At 44.2% G+C, this 16,939-nt stretch overlaps 1 long non-coding RNA gene across 2 annotated transcripts in view, besides 4 other annotated features; it reads left to right on the top strand.

Moving 5' to 3' along the window:
• Positions 4,866–5,394: an enhancer, noted in NCBI's record as "H3K27ac-H3K4me1 hESC enhancer chr16:18066423-18066951 (GRCh37/hg19 assembly coordinates)". NCBI's record gives its function as "activates a minimal SCP1, AML or CMV promoter by ChIP-STARR-seq in primed H9 embryonic stem cells {active_cell/tissue: H9 hESC(primed)}" and the evidence as "EXISTENCE:reporter gene assay evidence [ECO:0000049][PMID:30033119]".
• Positions 5,395–5,923: an enhancer, noted in NCBI's record as "H3K27ac-H3K4me1 hESC enhancer chr16:18065894-18066422 (GRCh37/hg19 assembly coordinates)". NCBI's record gives its function as "activates a minimal SCP1, AML or CMV promoter by ChIP-STARR-seq in primed H9 embryonic stem cells {active_cell/tissue: H9 hESC(primed)}" and the evidence as "EXISTENCE:reporter gene assay evidence [ECO:0000049][PMID:30033119]".
• Positions 5,459–16,939, top strand: part of LOC107984893 (uncharacterized) — a 111,412-nt gene continuing 99,931 nt past the window's right edge. Inside the window, exons 1-3 of one of the 2 annotated variants that reach the window (XR_001752093.2) lie at positions 5,459–5,569; positions 6,014–6,120; positions 10,272–10,417. This is a non-coding gene — a long non-coding RNA (uncharacterized LOC107984893). Of the gene's footprint in view, positions 5,570–6,013; positions 6,121–10,271; positions 11,732–16,939 lie in introns of those variants that run through there. The other variant, XR_001752092.3, reaches the window with a different exon arrangement.
• Positions 14,004–14,053: an enhancer, noted in NCBI's record as "active region_10517". NCBI's record gives its function as "activates an Ori minimal core promoter by ATAC-STARR-seq in GM12878 lymphoblastoid cells {active_cell/tissue: GM12878}" and the evidence as "EXISTENCE:reporter gene assay evidence [ECO:0000049][PMID:35858748]".
• Positions 14,344–14,563: an enhancer, noted in NCBI's record as "active region_10516". NCBI's record gives its function as "activates an Ori minimal core promoter by ATAC-STARR-seq in GM12878 lymphoblastoid cells {active_cell/tissue: GM12878}" and the evidence as "EXISTENCE:reporter gene assay evidence [ECO:0000049][PMID:35858748]".

Genomic DNA, 16,939 nt, shown 5'->3' with positions numbered 1-16,939 from the left:
GGATTAGTATAAGAACAAATAACTAGCCGGGCGCGGTCGCTCACGCCTGTAATCCCAGCACTTTGGGAGGCCGAGGCGGGCGGATCCCGAGGTCAGGAGATGGAGACCATCCTGGCTAACGTGGTGAAACCCCGTCTCTACTAAAAATACAAAAAATTAGCCAGGCGTGGTGGCGGGCGCCTGTAGTCCCAGCTACTCGGGAGGCTGAGGCAGGAGGATGGCGTGAACCCGGGAGGCGGAACTTGTAATGAGCAGAGATCGCGCCACTGCACTCCAGCCTGGGTGACAGAGCGAGACTCCGTCTAAAAAAAAAAAAAAAAAAAAAAAAAGAACAAATAACTAATAAATAGGATGCGGCCAGAATTCGACCTTAGGTGCTTTTAACTCCCGAGCCCAGACTCTTTGATTTACCATATTATTTGGCTACCTCTTGGTTTCCAGTGTAATAGGAAATGTGGGATGAGCCTAGATGACCACAAATACTTGGAAAAGAGTAACGCAGGCCTGAGTCCAGAAGGACCTTGCTCTTTCTGTTGGTTTTGGAAATTTGAGTGCGAGGAGTGAGGTTAAGGAAGCCAAAGCAGCCCGGGAAGAATCAGGAGTCATTATTTCATGTCCAATTTCCCTTCTTTAATTGGGATGGCAGGAAGGGGGTGGGTCAGGGCCAGGTATGTCTCTTGCAGGCAGTCTGGGTGAGTGACGCTGGGGAGAATGCCAGGTGTATTCATTCAACAAGTCCTGCTGGGCGCGGTGGCTCACGCCTGTAATCCTAGCACTTTGAGAGGCTGAGGCAGGCAGATTGCCTGAGCTGAGGAGTTGGAGACCAGCCTGGGCAACATGGTGAAACCCCATCTCGACTAAAGTACAAAAAAATTTAGCCAGTCATGGCGGCGTGCGCCTGTAGTCCCAGCTACTCGGCTGAGGCAGGAAAACTGCTTGAACCCAGGAGGCGGAGGTTGCAGTGAGCCGAGATTACACCAGCCTGGGAGACAGAGCAAGACTCTGTCTCAAAAAAAAAAAAAAAAAAGCCCTGACTGCATGCCACACACCAGGGGCTCAGCATTGAATAAGATAGGGCCTCTGGTGTCATGGTCCTTACTATTTGGGCAAAAGACAGATAGTACAGTAAGCAAATAAAAAATACCAGCTTCTGATTAAGTGCTATGAGGGAGATAAGACGAGAAGATGCAATGAAGAATAATTGGACAGCAATTTAGATGGGTGGTCAAGGAAGGCTTCTCTGAGGAGGTCACCTTTCTTTGAGACCTGAAACATGAAAAGTCACCAGCTATGGAAAAGCCAAGGGTAAAGTGTTGCAGGCAAGGGAACAGCATCTGCAAAAGGTATATGTATATTGGACGTGAGTCATGAGTTGAGTGTGATCAAGAAATGGAAATTCGCCTCTGCTATTGGGGCTGAGTGAGAGGCTGGTCTGGAGGTGGTTAAGCAGATATCAACCTGTCTAGGTCTTGCAAGGGTGATCACACGTAAGTGAGATGGGAAGGCCATTGTAGGATCAGAGCAGGGAACTTCTTTCATCAGATTTACATTTTAAAAGGCTCATTCTGGTTCATGTCCTTTGCAGGGACATGGATGAAGCTGGAAACCATCATTCTCAGCAAACTAACCCAGGAACAGAAAACCAAACACCACATGTTCTCACTCATAAGTGGGAGTTGAACAATGAGAACACATGGACACAGGAAGGGGAACATCACACACCGGGGCTTGTCGGGGGTTTGTGGGGGAAGGGGAGGGAGAGCATTAGGACGATTACCTAATGCATGCGGGGCTTAAGACCTAGATGATGGGTTGATAGGTGCAGCAAACCACCATGGCACATGTATACCTACGTAACAGACCTGCACGTTCTGCACTTGTATCCCAGAACTTAAAGTATAATAATAATAATAATAATAATAATAATAATAATAATAATAAAGCTTATCCTAGCTGTTGGATGTAGGGTAGTTTGAAAGGAGGGTAAGTTGGGAGCTATGGTAATCATAGAGGTGGCCTGGATCGCAGTGATGCCTGTGGAGGTAAGGAGAAGCAGATGGGTTCAGGACCTAAATATTACATGTAAGGGAGAGGGCAGAATCTAGGGAGATTCTGAGGTTTTGCCTTGGACAACTGGTTGAAGGCTAATTGTGATGGGAACCACTGGAGGAGAGAGTGATTTGAAGTTGGAGGAGGTGGGGAACAATGGAAAGAAGAATTAGCAGATCCAAATGGAATTAGCAAACTGGACTTAGAAGTCAAGTCAAAAGCAGAGAATATGGAGAAGATGCTTGGGATGAGGAGTGGGTTGGAGGAAGCTCAATGCTCTGAGCATTCAGCATTTTTGGCAACGAATCTTGTGATTGCCAGAATGAGGAACTCCATCCAGTTGCTTAAACCATGTCATCGTCTCCATCTTCAAGGAGCGAAAGTGATGAGGGAAGAGAACATCTTTGTCATGTAAAGGCCTTTGGAGAATACAGAGTAATAAAGTCTTGCCTGTAAGATGCTCATGAACTCTTCCAGAGGTGGTTTTGGGGGAACTCTCCTGCACAGATGTGGAGACAAAAGCAAGCCAATATTCAGCAAGCTGAGTGCCCATTTGTTTTAAGATGAGGAACAGACTTGCTGGATAAGGGTGAGGAGGGGCTTAAAACATGCTAACAACATCAAAACAGTTAACCTGAGTAGCAGTTTGGGCTTTCCCAAGCACTTTCTGTTTTTCATCAGAGGCATTTTTCTTTCATTTAAAAACTCTTTTCTGAAGTATACTGTACAAACAGAAAAGTACATTCACATAAGTAAGCAGCTCAATGAATTTTCACAAACAGAACACACCCATGGAACAATTATCTAGCTCAAGAAATAAAACATTTTCTGGCACAGCACTTTAGAATTTCAAAAGCAGAGACTAGAATTAACCATTCCTTTGTGGGTCTCTGGTGCTTGTGCCCAGACGCAGGCACCAGATCCTGCTGGAGTCAGCCAATCCCAAGGTTGTGTGTAGAAAGTGGGTTCCTGCTCCCTCAAGTTCAGCCGTATGCTTTTCCCCGAGTCCCACATCTGTTGCCCATGTTCTGCCCACCTGCCGCTCTCCTAACGTGCCCAGGATTCTCAAATGAGGCACAAGTGTGTAAGCTTCTTGGGTTCTTTCATTGACCAAAGACGTGGTCAGTTCTCAGTCTTCTCCTTAGTCAACTTTATCCAAAATGTGTAGATGTGCATGTGTCCTCTTTCCCTTGTTCCAGGTAGCTAGAAGCATTGCAAGGAACCTGGAGTTTTCTTTACAAAAAAAAGTTATTTTTAAGTTCTGGGGTACATGTGCAGGATGTGCAGGTTTGTTACATAGGTAAACGCATGCCATGGTGGTTTGCTGCACCTATTAACCCATCACCTGGTATTCAGCCCAGCATGCACTAGCTATTTTTCCTAATGCTCTCCCTAACCCGACCCCATCCCCGACAGGCCCCAGTGTGTTTTTCCCCTCCCTGTGTCCAAGTGTTCTTATTGTTCAGTTCCCACTTATAAGTGAGAACATGGGGCGCTTGGTTTTCTGTTTCTGTGTTAGTTTGCTGAGGATAATGGCTTCCAGCTCCATCTATGTCCCTGCAAAGGACATCATCTCATTCCTTTTTATGGCTGCCTAGTATTCCATGGTGTATATGTACCATGCTTTCTTTATCCAGTCTATCATTGATGGGCATTTGGGTGGATTCCATGTCTTCGCTATTGTGAATACTGCTGCCACGAACATACATGTACATGTATCTTTGTAACAGAATGATTTATATTCCTTTGTGTATATATCCAGCAAGGGGATTGCTGGGTCAAATGGTAATTCTGGTTCTAGATCTTTGAGGAATTGCCACACTCTTTTCCACAATGGGGACCTGAAGTTTTCAATATAAGCCTAGGATTTTTAGGTTTGAGAAGATAGTCTGGGTGAAAAATAGACAAAATAAAGAATATGGGTTTTAAAGTTTTCTTTGGAGGGAGTCAAAGATTTTTTCCTGTGCCAAGGACTAGGGAATGCTTTTGTAGCTTCTTGTTTTCCTTTGAGACGGGTATCTCCCTGTAAGACAGGCAGGCTGGTTGCTGTGGTCTGAGTGTTTTTGTCTCCCTAAAATACAGATGCTGAAGCCTGATTCCCAATGCAATAGTATTAAGAGTTGGTGCCTTTAGGAAATAATTACATCATGAGGATGGGGCCCACATGAATGGAATTAATGCCCTTTCAAAAAAGAGGCCCAAGGGAGCTTATTTGCCCTTCTACCATGTTTAGGACCCTCTATCCTGTAGCACCATGACCTTGGACTCTACAGCCTCCAGAACTGTGGGAAATAAATCTCTACTATTTACAAGCCACCCAGTTTATGATATTTTGTTATAGCAGGCCAAAACAGTGGTGAAGATCAGGCACCCTGGAATCGTCCAGAACTGGGTTCAAATTCTGCCTGACTCTTGCCAGGTATGTAAACTTGGCAAGTTACTTAGCTTCTCTGAGCCTCAGCTTTTCTCATGCATAAAGTACAGATCATAAGAGGTACCATCTCAAAGGGCAGTTGTGAAGAGTAACTGAGATGACATGTAAAGTGTTTGGCACATTATTTTTATTACTAGAATAATTATTATTGAAAAAATAATCGCCATTAGAAAAATATTACAACTATTATTGTTTAAAATAGTTTTTTTACATGCAGGGTCTTACTCTGTTGCCCAGGCTACAGTGGTGATTATACAGCTGTAGTGCAGTGGTGTGATCATAGCTCACTGCAGCCTTGGACTCCTGGGCTCAAGTAATCCTCCCACCTCAGCCTCCTGAGTAGCTGGGACTACAAGTGTGAACCTCCATGCCCAGCTATTTTTTTTGTTTGTTTGTTTTTCATAGAGACAGGGTACTGCTACGTTGCCCAGGATGGTCTTGAATGCCTGGCTTAAGTGCTCCTTCCACCTTGGCATCCCAAAGTACTGAGATTACAGGCACGAGCCACTGTGCCTGGCCCTGTTATTGCTATGACTGTAGCCATTTGGGAGGTGATGAAACTGAGACTTAGATTAAGTGACTTGCCCAATGCCTCAGGGCAATGTTCCCTGACTCCTAAGCCTTTTCACTCAGCGCATTCCCCTCACTTAAGCACACCCCAGCCCCTTTCCTGGCCCATCTGGTCACAATGGCAGCTCTAATGAAGCAACCGGGGCAGCTGCCAGCCTGAGAAGAGGGACTGGGCAGCCCTCTGGCCGGGCATCATTTAATCAGATGACCTCCAAAGCGAGCTTTTCCGGCTGACCATCCGGCCTCCAGAAGAACGGCATTAAGGAGTTAATGAGGCTTGGCCAAGGCGATGGGCCATCTGTTCTTAATTATCCAAAGTGCACGAGGCCAAGGGCAGGCTGACGTGGGGGCGGCCGGGCACTGCCTGCGTGGTCGAGCTGGCTGCCCCCTCAGCCGCCTGCCTTTGTGCCTCCAGCCTCCTTGGCTCCCTGAGTGCCTCACTTTGCCTTCTCCCCTGTTTCTCCCACCTCTGAGGCCGAGTAGCAGAAGTCAGAAGCTGGTGTCCAAGAGCCCCAAGTGAGCAGAGGCAGAGATGGGAGCAGGAGACGTGGGGTTAAGGTCCAATTCTCCAGACACAGAGCCCAAGACAGGGATTCGGGGGCAAGCAGTTTATCCGGGGAGTGTTTTCAGGAGAAAGGGGAAGGAGGAGCTGAGCAAGGATGGGGAGAAGCTTCACACTGGTCCCTTGGGGAGTTCTGGGCTCAAATGTAGCACAGAGATAGCCCCACCTTGATGTGAGGAATGAAGCAGTTCTCTAGAGGGGGGCCATAATCAGATGCCAGTTGCTCTTGGCCGTCACGGGGAGCAGCTGGGGAGGGACGTGGCCACCAGAAAAGAAATTTCAGTGGGGCACCAAGAGGAGGGTGGGGAGGCAGCAAGCAGAATGTTGAACAGGAATCCTCTTTGGAAACTAACCAACCCTGTTCCTACTTTTTTTTTTTTTTCTTTTTTTCCTGGCAGGAAGCATGGTTATGTCCCCTGAAGCCCTGGTCCACATGAAGCTCTTCCTGCTTTTCTTCAGAGGAAGATGCAGGAGCTGGTTAATGGAATGGATTTTGCATTCAGACGTAGGTTTGAAGCTTGGCTCTTCCACCTAGTAGCTGGCTGATCTTGGGAAGAATTCCTGACCTTTCTGAGCCTCATTCTGCTTGTCTGTAAAATGGGAATAATAGTACTCCCTACCTTTTGGAGCTTTCTGGGAAAGATTTATGAGCTGGTGCACATAAAGTCTCTGAACAGAGCCTAGTACTTAATGTTTAATTACGGTGGTGGTGGGCGGGGGGAGGGTGATAATGGTCTTTCTTCCTGCCTCTTTCTTCCTCTTCTTCCTCCTTCTCCTCTTCATCCTTCCTTCTCCATCTTTCTCCTGTCTCTTCTTCCATCTTCTTTCCTCTTCCCCTTTTTCTTTCATCCTTCTTTTTGTCTGTCCTCCTCTTCTTCCTATTTCTGTTGTTGGTAATGTTATTGCGATCCCCTAGCAAACTAATGGACTTGGTTTGGAGTGAGGCATACTTCAACTTGGGGGAAGACCTCAAATCTATTTCCGGGTTGATGCTGTGCTATTTCTGAGACAATCATAGAAAAGCCCATGTTTGTGTGAGTCGTGTGTGTGGGAATCTTCCCAACAGGCATTCCTGGCTTTCTCCTGGGATTTAAAAACAAGCATCATAGTGGAGTAGAAAACATGAAGTTGGGCAGCACAGAATTCATGTATGAGCTCTGCCTCCTACAGGCTGTATGGCCTTGTGCAAGCTGCTCATCCCCTCTGAGACTTAGATTTCTTATCCTTAAAATATTCAAGTTGCAATGATGTTGGAAAGATTAAATGTGGTGATACTGTGGGCCTAGCCCATGTGCACTACGGGGATTCACAGTCTGGACTTGTCTGGTGTCCTGGCCCAAAGTAGGTGCTTGAAAATTAGTTTCTTTTTTTCACGTTGCATGCCGGGGGATTTGGACTAGAATTGGGATCAGTCACTTCTGGTTTGGATCCTGGAACATTTTGTTTGTCTCTTGTCCTGGTTAGCCCATGACACAAAGGGTCATGGAGTCAGAGTCTTTATTATGATGCTCCTGACCAAGAATCTGGCAGCTCCAGGCTGCTGTGTATTCAGGAATCACAAAGACTTGGGTTCAAAGGCTTGCTCTGCCACTTTTTGAGCTGTTTCTTTCATCTTTCAGATCCTGTGTCTTTATCTGTAAAATGAAGTCATTAGTATATTCCTGTCTGCATCATTGTGCAGATTAAATTAGATGATGTATTTGAGCCCAGTGTCTAGGCTGTGGTGAAAGGAGAACTTACAGCAAACCATGTCATTAATGAGATGGAGGGAGAACCATATCTGTGTGGCTGTCTGCCAAAGACGCCCAGATCTAGAAAAAAAAAAGTGATTCTAAAGAGTTAATTCAACAGGCAGAGCGGCCCTGGCCACCTCTGTTCTATGCTCCAGGCTGGATTCATTTGCACCCTCATATCTTGGCTCAGGGTCCAGCTGCCTGGCGCATGCTGGGGGGTGTGAAGATGAGCCTAATTATGAGGGAGTGTGTGTTGCATGTCCCTGTGATCATGGCAGGGTTTGATGCCAGGGGTCTCTGTGGTCTGACAAAGATGGTGTTTGGAGATGAATGTCGGATTTGTATGTAGAGTGCTGGGGAACTCGGCCAGCTTTGCAGCTTGATTGTAAATTCACTGGAGAGCTCCTAGCTCCTGTTCTGAAAAAGGACTCCTTCCCCTTTGTCACAGGAGCTGAGGTTGTCATTAATGCTTTTTATCAAATATTTCCAACTTTCTGACTTCCAGTCCTCTGGTAGGATTATATTTTCCCACCTACTTTAAAGGTAGATGTGGACATGTGAATTGCTAAGTCAACCCTCATGGACATGAAGCATGAATGAGAAAGCCATGTTTGTTACTTCCCATTGAGATTTTGGGCTTGTTACATCAGCATAACTGAGGTACCCTGACTGATACACAGGATGGATGAATGGATACAAAAATCTGCAAGGGCAGGGAGTCTGCCTGATGTCGTTCCTACCTTATTCCCAGGGCCTAGCATGGTACCTGGCACATATAAGCAGTGGATAAATCCTTGTTGGGGAAGGAAAGGAGGACCTTGGAACCACCAGCCCTTAGTTTGATCCTGATCTTGCAACTCATCAGCTGTGCGAACTTTGGAAATTCACTTAACCTTTTAATCCTCACTTTTCTCATGCATGGAATAGGAATACCATTCCCCGAAATGTTACTGTAGGATTTATTCTCATAATGCAGAAGCTTCTGATGTATAGCAGGCACCCACTACATAATGGCTAACAAAATCTTTTGCTTTGATAAAAGATAGCAGGCATGAAGGGGAGGGACTGGGCCTATGTAAGTACTTTTTTCTGCAAGGAGGATTAGGGTAGGAAGGAAGTTGTAGGTGGCATTGATGTGGGAAGGGGACCTTAATTATGAGTGGTCCCCAAAGCAAGGAGGTGGGGAAGGCAGAGATAAATAAAGCAAGTAGTTGTCAGATATCTCTTTTCTCAGTCCAAGAGAGCTAATTCAAATGGCACAAAACATCCCCAAATATTTGAGCAGAAGCCATAGCTAGTACGCTTTTAATTACCCTGCCAATAAAGATTCCTGGGCAGAACGGTCTTCCATGCACAGTAATGTTTTGCAATGTTTTTAGTAATTGGGTTAAGATAATTTATTAGAGTACCGACTGGATGTGTTTCAATAATTGCTAAGACTAGAATATTAGCCTTTCCTCCCTGAATGCAAATCACTCCCCAATGGGCCAAAGCATTGGAGAATATTGTTCTAAATATGCAAATCACTTTGAGACAAATTCCGAGTGCTGACCATAGCTCTATGTGAGCATTTATTTTAAATTGCACTTGGAAGCTCCCTGAACTTTGAGTCCCATGTTGGGGGCTTGTTTTGTTGGCGAGGTCACAGGCTGTGGTCGATTGACCTCCTACTGTTTTTATTAAAATTAAAGGAAATCTGCATGCAGATGGGAGGTAAGGAGGGTCAGCAAGGGCCCCACCGAGGTCGCTGGCAGCATTAGAGACACAGCTAATGGCTAAAACAGATTTTCCCTCATGTCTATTTTTCTACTGAGCTTGTTGGGAGGAAAACAATCTAACCCTATTTAAGAAAAAAATAATCAGAAATATTAACAGAGGATTTGAGAGGATGAGAGAGTCTTGCCAGAGGGGAGGGAGCATGTTTGCAATCAAGATTTAAAGGTAATAAGCTTCCTAAGGTTAATTTGGTTTATCTGGAATGAACACAGCACATCAGGAGAAAAAAACTCACTTAATAGAAGCTTTGCATTGTCAGGAAATAATAGTAGTGGAAGTTGCATGTATGGGCTGCTTACAGTACCAGATAGGGTCCGAAGCACATTACATGTATCTAACCCATTTAATCCTCCCAACAACCCAGTGAGTGGATATATTGTTATCTCCATGAAGAACTCGAGTCTTGAAGAAATGACAACGTTGGTTGGCTAAGGTCTTTCTTCTTATAAGTGGTTTGAACCAAGAATGCAGAATTCCAAGCTCCTGAATTGGACCACAGGGCTAGATTGCAGCTACCATGTACTAAACGGTCATTGTGGTTTTTGTAACAAGCTAGGTCCATTACATGCGCTAGTCCATTGGACTGTTTAAGTGCTTATTAAGGTGTGTTACTAGGAACAGGGTCTGTAGATCTCTGATTCATGGGGCAGTTGATGTTGGTAAGAGGAACAACAGTGACTGAGGTAGAGGGGAAGGGCATAGTGGGTGTGAGGCAGGGATTTTTTTTTTTTAAAAGATTGCAGGTGCAGAAAAATATGCACCATCCTTAACTTCCTTATTCATAAAATGGAGAATAATAATGATACTGGCTTCAAAGGTACTCAGTGCCATGGCCGATACACAATAAATGCTTAAATATCCAGTCTTAATATCTCTTTATGAAATGATAACTAGGATTTTCTTAGTTTTTTAGAGATAAAAAGAGCAATAATTGGTCACCACCAATTATTGGAAGTAGTACTGTTTGGAAGTACTTCATACTACATCTCCAAAGAGTAAATAAGGCTTTATGAATATATTCCTAACACAGGAAAAGAATTAAGGTACCATATTGAGCTATTGACCTGTAAGGAAGAAATGAGAGCCCCCATATCTCTGTGTTAATTGCAAAGTAACCAGAATCTGGCCTTTGTTCTTCCACTTCTAGATCTCTTGGGGCTGCCTGTAGGTGGATATGTTCATGGAAGACGGTGAAAAAGACAAGAATAGGATTTGCTGTATAGAATCACTATAGTCACCATCACACTGAGTATCAACAACATCTCTTGTTATCCTCACAACTGTGCAAAACAGGTAAGGAGGAGAGTATGACACCGTATTAGTCCATTCTCACACAGCTATAAAAAATACCTGAGACTAGGTAATTTATAAAGAAAAGAGGTTTAATTGGCTCACAGTTCCACAGGCTGTACAGGAAGCATGATGCTGGCATCTGCTTAGCTTCTGGGAAGTCCTCAGGAAACTTACAGTCATGGTGGAAGACAAAGGGGGAGTAAGCACCTCACATGGCCAGAGCAAGAGGAAGAGAGAGAGTGGGGAGGTTTTGCACACTTTTCAAACAACTAGATCTCATGAGAACTCGCTATCTCAATGACAGCACCAAAGGGGAAGGTGTTAAACCATGAGAAACTGCCCCCATGATCCAGTCACCTCCCACCAGTCCCTACCTCCAATATTGGGAATTATAATTTGATAAGAGATTTGCAGGGGAACAGGTCCAAACCATACCAGATAGCCAGTGTACAGGTGAATAATGAGGTTTAAAGAGGAAAAGGGACTTCCTCGTGACCACAGAGTGACTGACTGGTGGAGCAGAGGCTCGAACATAAGTCTTCTAGCTTTGGATCCCTTCAGCTTTTTTCATTCTCTCCGAGATTCCAGGTGGAGGGTAGTAGGTCCTGAATTGGTATTACTTTAATGACAACTGCAATTTTGCACCAAGCTAATAGCCTTGGAATTGTCACCATCGCCATGGGGCTCTTCGCCAAGATAGCCACCACAACCATTCCCAGGGTCACCACCATCACAGTCAAGGTAGTTTTTACAAAGTGTCTTTCTCCAAATAAGTCTTCACATTAGTTGAGAAGCTGTTTGCTAATCTCATCAGTATCCCCAAGTAAAGAAGGATAGTCTACATTATAAGAGGCAGTTACACCTTCCTCCAAAGTTTCCTAATGGATAATAAAATATGAAGAGTACATTCTTTGCTATGTAATTAATGGAAATTTACCATTTTTAAGCTTCCTTTGGGAAATTTTCCATGTCAAATGAATTTGTCGATGGGACCCGAGAGAGAGGCTATCACAACTGTTCCAATGTGTACCTCTTCATCAGGCGGCTGCTGGAGGTTAAATTTTCAGTCACGTCTTCTGATGGCTTTGATCTCTGATGACAGTGTTAACTCTATTCACTCCTTGGTATCACTCTGGTATTTTAAAATGGTCTTTTAAGATAGCCTTGCTAATTATTTTGCTGGAAGTTTAATTAAATCTTGTCACAGAGGAATATGCTATCTTGGGGAATGGCTGCTAAACATAAGTCAAATTGCTAAAAAAAAAAAAAAAAAAAAGAAGGCAGAGGAGACAAATAGGAATACAAAGAATGGTGGAGAAGATAGATTTCCATACTAAAAAAATGCAGGATTTTCTCAAGTTCAAATTCTTTTGTTTGAACCATGTTCAACTTTGAGAGGATTCTAAGTAGTCTTTAATTTTATGTTTATAAAAAAACAAATGTATTGAAAGAAAGCAATTGATGTTTTTCTTTAGTTCTGCTCTGGAACCATAAAGATAAATAGATGAGGTCACTGTTTTCAAGGGGCTCATGGTTGTCTCTGTGTGTGTCTGTGTGTCTGTGTCTGTGTGTATGTAGGGGATGGGAGGTTCAGAGAGAGACATGTTATATATAGAAGGCTAGATGTCTTAGAATATTCATTATGGTGTTGTTTGTAACAGCAAATTTCTGAAACAACCTTTTTGAAAGAAGTAGACTCAAGTAGGAGGAGTATGATATGAAATGATCTCCAACATATGTTTAAGATAAAAAAACAAAGTGCCAACCAGTATACAAAAGGGGTTGGCAAACTTTTTCTTAAAAGACCAGATAGTAAGAGGCTTTGTGGTCTGTATGGTTTCTTTTCTCGTGTGTGAAAGCAACGATGGACGACACACAAAGGAATTCATATGGCTGTGTTCCAATAAAACTTCATACATATTGAACTTGGAATTTCAAAAGTTGTTCATATGTCACCAAATACTCTTCTTCTTTTGTTCCCCCTCCCCTCAATCATCTGAAAATGTAAAAATCATTCTCGGCTTGCTAGCCATACCAAAAAATAATTAAATGAAAGCAGGGTCTCAAAGGGATTATTTTTACATCGACTTCCGTGGCAACCTTATTCACAATAGCTAAAATGTGAGAGCATCCACTGATGGATGAATAAGCAAGATGTGCTACGTACGTATGTATAATAGGCTATTGTTCAGCCTTAGGAAATCCTGACATACATTACAACATGGATGAATTTTGAGGATATTATGCCATGTGAAACAAGCGAGTCACAAAAGACAAACACTGTACGATTCTATTTGTATGAGGTACTTATATTCAAATTCATAGAGACAATAGAATGGTGGTTGTTGGGCTTGAGGGAAGGGGAAAATGGGGAGTTGTTTAATGGGTATGGAGTTTCAGTTTTACAAGAGGAAAAGAATTGCAGAGTTGGATGGTGGTGATGGTTGTACAACATTATGAGTGTGTTTAAAGACACTGAACTGTACACTTAAAATGACTTAGATGGTAAATTTTATGTTGTGTGTGTGTGTGTGTTTTTTTTTCCCAAGATGGAGTCCTGCTCTGTCACCCGGGCTGGAGTACAGTGGCATGATCTCACGTCACTGCAACCTCTGCTTCCCGGGTTCAAGCAATTCTCCTGCCTCAGCCTCCCAAGTACCTGGGATTACAGGGTGCACAGCACTATGCCTGGCTAATTTTTGTATTTTTAGTAGAGATGGGGTTTCACCATGTTGGCCAGGCTGGTCTCCAACTGTTGACCTCGTGATCCACCTGCCTCGGCCTCCCAAAGTGCTGGGTTTACAGCCTGAGCCACCATGCCCAGCCTGTTATGTGTATTTCAACACAATTTAAAAAAATTGTAAAACACACTAAAATAACAACAACAAAAAATAGGAGGCAGGCTGGACTTGGACTGTGGGGCATAGTTTGGAAACCCATGGTGTAGAACATGGACCATTTGTGTACAAATACACACAAACACACACATATGTACAAACTGTACACACAACAAATATGATAGGTTTAATGTTTTTGAAATACCTCTTGGTGATTAATTACTCCCTTAACAGCCAGTTTCTTTCTTCTCGGCACTCCTTGTGTTACAAAAGCTAAGCCATGAGACATTGCCCTAGGGAAGGAGAGGACGCTATGGAATGGAACAAAGCTCATCATTCAATGTTGAGTTTCAAAGATGACTTATTTTTTTTTCTCCAGGAAATGGCAAGACAATTATCTTTAAAGCCAAACTTTATTACAAGATAAATGCTTCTGCATTTGTTTGCCCTTTCTAAATTCCAAAAGGCCTTTTCGCATACCAATGTGCAAGCCTGGCCAACTTAGACCATAGAGTTTCATGACAGATCCTCCTCATGCCCCAGCTCCTGGAGGCGCTAGAGGAAGTGCTGAGTGGCAAGAGGAAGGCTCTTTGGTCCTCAGAGAGGACCTGAAGTCAAAAGAAACAAATGCTGGCCAGGTGAGGTGGCTCACGCCTGTAATCCCAGCACTTTGGGAGGCTGAGGCGGGTGGATCTCCTGAGGTCAAGAGTTTGAGACCAGTCTAGCCAACACAGTGAGACCCCATATCTACTAAATATACAAAAATTAGCCGGGCATGGTTGTGCATGCCTGTAGTCTCAGCTACTCAGGAGGCTGAGACAGGAGAATCACTTGAACCTGGGAGGCAAAGGTTGCAGTGAGCCAAAATCACACCACTGCACTCCAGTCTGGGTGACAGAGTGAGACTCTGTCTTGAAAAAAGAAAAATGCTGAAATATACGTGTCTTGACTGCCCTCTCTAAGACGATACGCTAGAAGTGATGTACAAAACTGGAAGCTAAGTCTTGAGGCCTTTCAGAGCACGGTTGGGCACTTTCTTCATTTTCTGTGGTACAAAGTGAATATTTTCACTTCCCCATCCTTTAGGAAACCCCCTTCAGTTTTGCGAAGGAATGCGGGTGGACGGGTTCCCTGCAGCCTGGATCCCTGCAGAGTGATGTGGAGATTCTGAGAGAACCCATGGACTGCCACTGGGGTCAGAGCAAGGACTCTGTAGATAGGGACTTTGTAACACGAGGAGAGTGGCCAGAATCACAGAATTCAACAAGTCCTCCTCCTGTGATACCCCAAACATTGAGAGACAGCAGCGATGGGCCAGTCTGCCTGTACTGTTGAAAAAACCAGAGAAGTCCCAAGATGTGTCTGGTAGACTTGAGGCCTCCTTCTAATCCAAAGACACACACACATTTTCTTATACCCGTGTGACATTGTGTGGAAGAAACAGCCCTGGTACGGAGTTTAAATCTTTGGGATGATTGAATATTTATCTTAAAGAGTCTGTACTAACTGAAGGCCGTTTTAAACTTCCTGAGATGACGATATCAAAACTGGCATGTTTAGTGTTTTTCATACTACCTAGCAGAATGGTGCTTGCAGCAAGATGAAATCGGGGAAAATAAAGTTTGCTGCCTTTTTTTTTTTTTACTTGCAAATTGTACAGGATGAAGCTTGAGCCTGCAATGTGTAATGCTTACACATGCATACCACACCTCTGGAAGTTTAAGGAAGGGACATGATTGCTTTTCCATTCTGCAGAGGTATCCTGCCCCCGGGGCAGGGGGGGGTGGTGGTCAGGAGGTGAGGAAGGGATTTACTGTTTACTGCTTGGTGTTCCACTTAGAGACGATTGCTGTAGCCCAAACAAGAGGTGGTGATCTTTTCCATAATGATTTGAAGCTTGGAATTGATTCTGTGTGAAACAGGGAATCAGTGATGGTTTAAATAAGCAGAGCAACATCCTGGTTAGATTTGTCTCTTCAGTTACATTGCTTGGCACTAGTCTACAAAAAAGGAAGGCCATGGATAGGACTGGAGGCAGGAAGGCTTTCTTGGAGACTGTTGAAATAATGCAGGAGAGACAAGGTGAGGGTTGGGACTGGGTTGGTGACAGTGGCATCAATGGGAGATAATTAAGAATAAGCTCAGATCCACACAGAAGACAAAGAACAGTCAAAGAAATAGAGGGCATCTTAGAAACGATACACAGAGAAACTCCTAGAATGAAGGGAGCAAAAGTGATCCTGGTGCAGTGCCCATCTCGTACAGTGAAAATAGTTTTGTGTCCGGAATTGGTTCCTTCTGGTGGGTTCTTGGTCTCGCTCACTTAAAGGATGAAGCCGCTGACCCTCACAGTGAGTGTTACAGTTCTTAAAGATGGTGGGTCCGGGGTTTGTTCCTTCAGATGTTCAGATGTATCCAGAGTTTCTTCCTTCTGGTGAGTTCGTGGTCTCACTGACTTCAAGAGGAAAGCTGCAGAACTTCTCAGCGAGTGTTACAGCTCATAAACGTAGTGCAGACCCAACTAGTGAGCAGCAACAATATTTATCGCAAAACAGAAAAGAACTACCTTCCACAGCCTACTGCCGCGGATGGCTCGTGTGGCCTGCTTTTATTCCCTTATTTGGCCCCACCCATATCTTGCTGATTGGTCCATTTTACAGAGTGCTGATTGGTCTGTTTTACAGAGTGCTGATTGGTCCGTTTTGACAGAGTGCTGATTGGTCCGTTTTGACAGAGTGCTGATTGGTGCATTTACAATCCTTTAGCCAGACATAAAAGTTCTCCAAGTCCCCACCTAACCCACAAGCCCAGCTGGCTTCACCTCTCAGCTTCAGTGTTGACTGCATCTCTTAAAACTGCTGAAAGGGCTCATGCACAGGATTATGTATAACTAAATTAATCAATCTCTCCCCTCCCTCACTTTCTTTGCCTCCCTCTCCCTTCTTTCTTTGCTATCATCTATCTTCCCTCTCTCCCTTTTCCAGCTCCTTTAGCCTGCTGGGCAGTGAGTCCAATTCCTTATTAGTTTCTTCCAAATCTCCCTCCTTCTGACTTTTCTCATAAACTTAGCTGTGGGCAGCTCTTGTGTTCCATGTCCCCTTACTGTATCCTTTTAAATATTTCTTTAATCTGTCAGAGAAGCTCCCTGACCTTTCCAGGGTAAGTCATTCTAGCCTTTCTGTCACTTTTCCCTGCTTCAGCTCTGTCCAGCTCAGTGATATGGTGAAGAGGTAGAGTCTTGTTCCCTGGGTTTGTACCTTGGCTCCACAACTAACCAGTTAAGTGACACAGGCAAGAATAGTCACTCTAAACCTCCATGTCCTCACGTGTGAAAGTGTTACCGGAAAGAGGTCCTGATCCAAACCCCAAGAGAGGGTTCTTGGATCTCGTGCAAGACAGAATTCAGGGCAAGTCCCTAGAGTAAGGGGAAAGCAAGTTTATCGAGAAAGTACAGGAATAAAAGAATGGCTACTCCATAGAGCAGCCCCAAGGGCTGCTGGTTGCCTATTTTTATGGTTATTTCTTGATTATGTGCTAAACAAGGGGTGAATTTTTCATGCCACCCCTTTTTACACCATATAGGGTAACTTCCTGACGTTACCATGATATTTGTAAACTGTCACGGGCTGCTGGGAGCGTAGCAGTGAGGACAACCAGATGTCACTCCCTTGCCATCTTGGTTTGG

This window comes from Homo sapiens, chromosome 16 (genome assembly GCF_000001405.40).
Source record: "Homo sapiens chromosome 16, GRCh38.p14 Primary Assembly".
Classification (NCBI taxonomy): Eukaryota; Metazoa; Chordata; class Mammalia; order Primates; family Hominidae; genus Homo; species Homo sapiens.
This window is presented reverse-complemented; position numbering and strand designations above follow the sequence as displayed.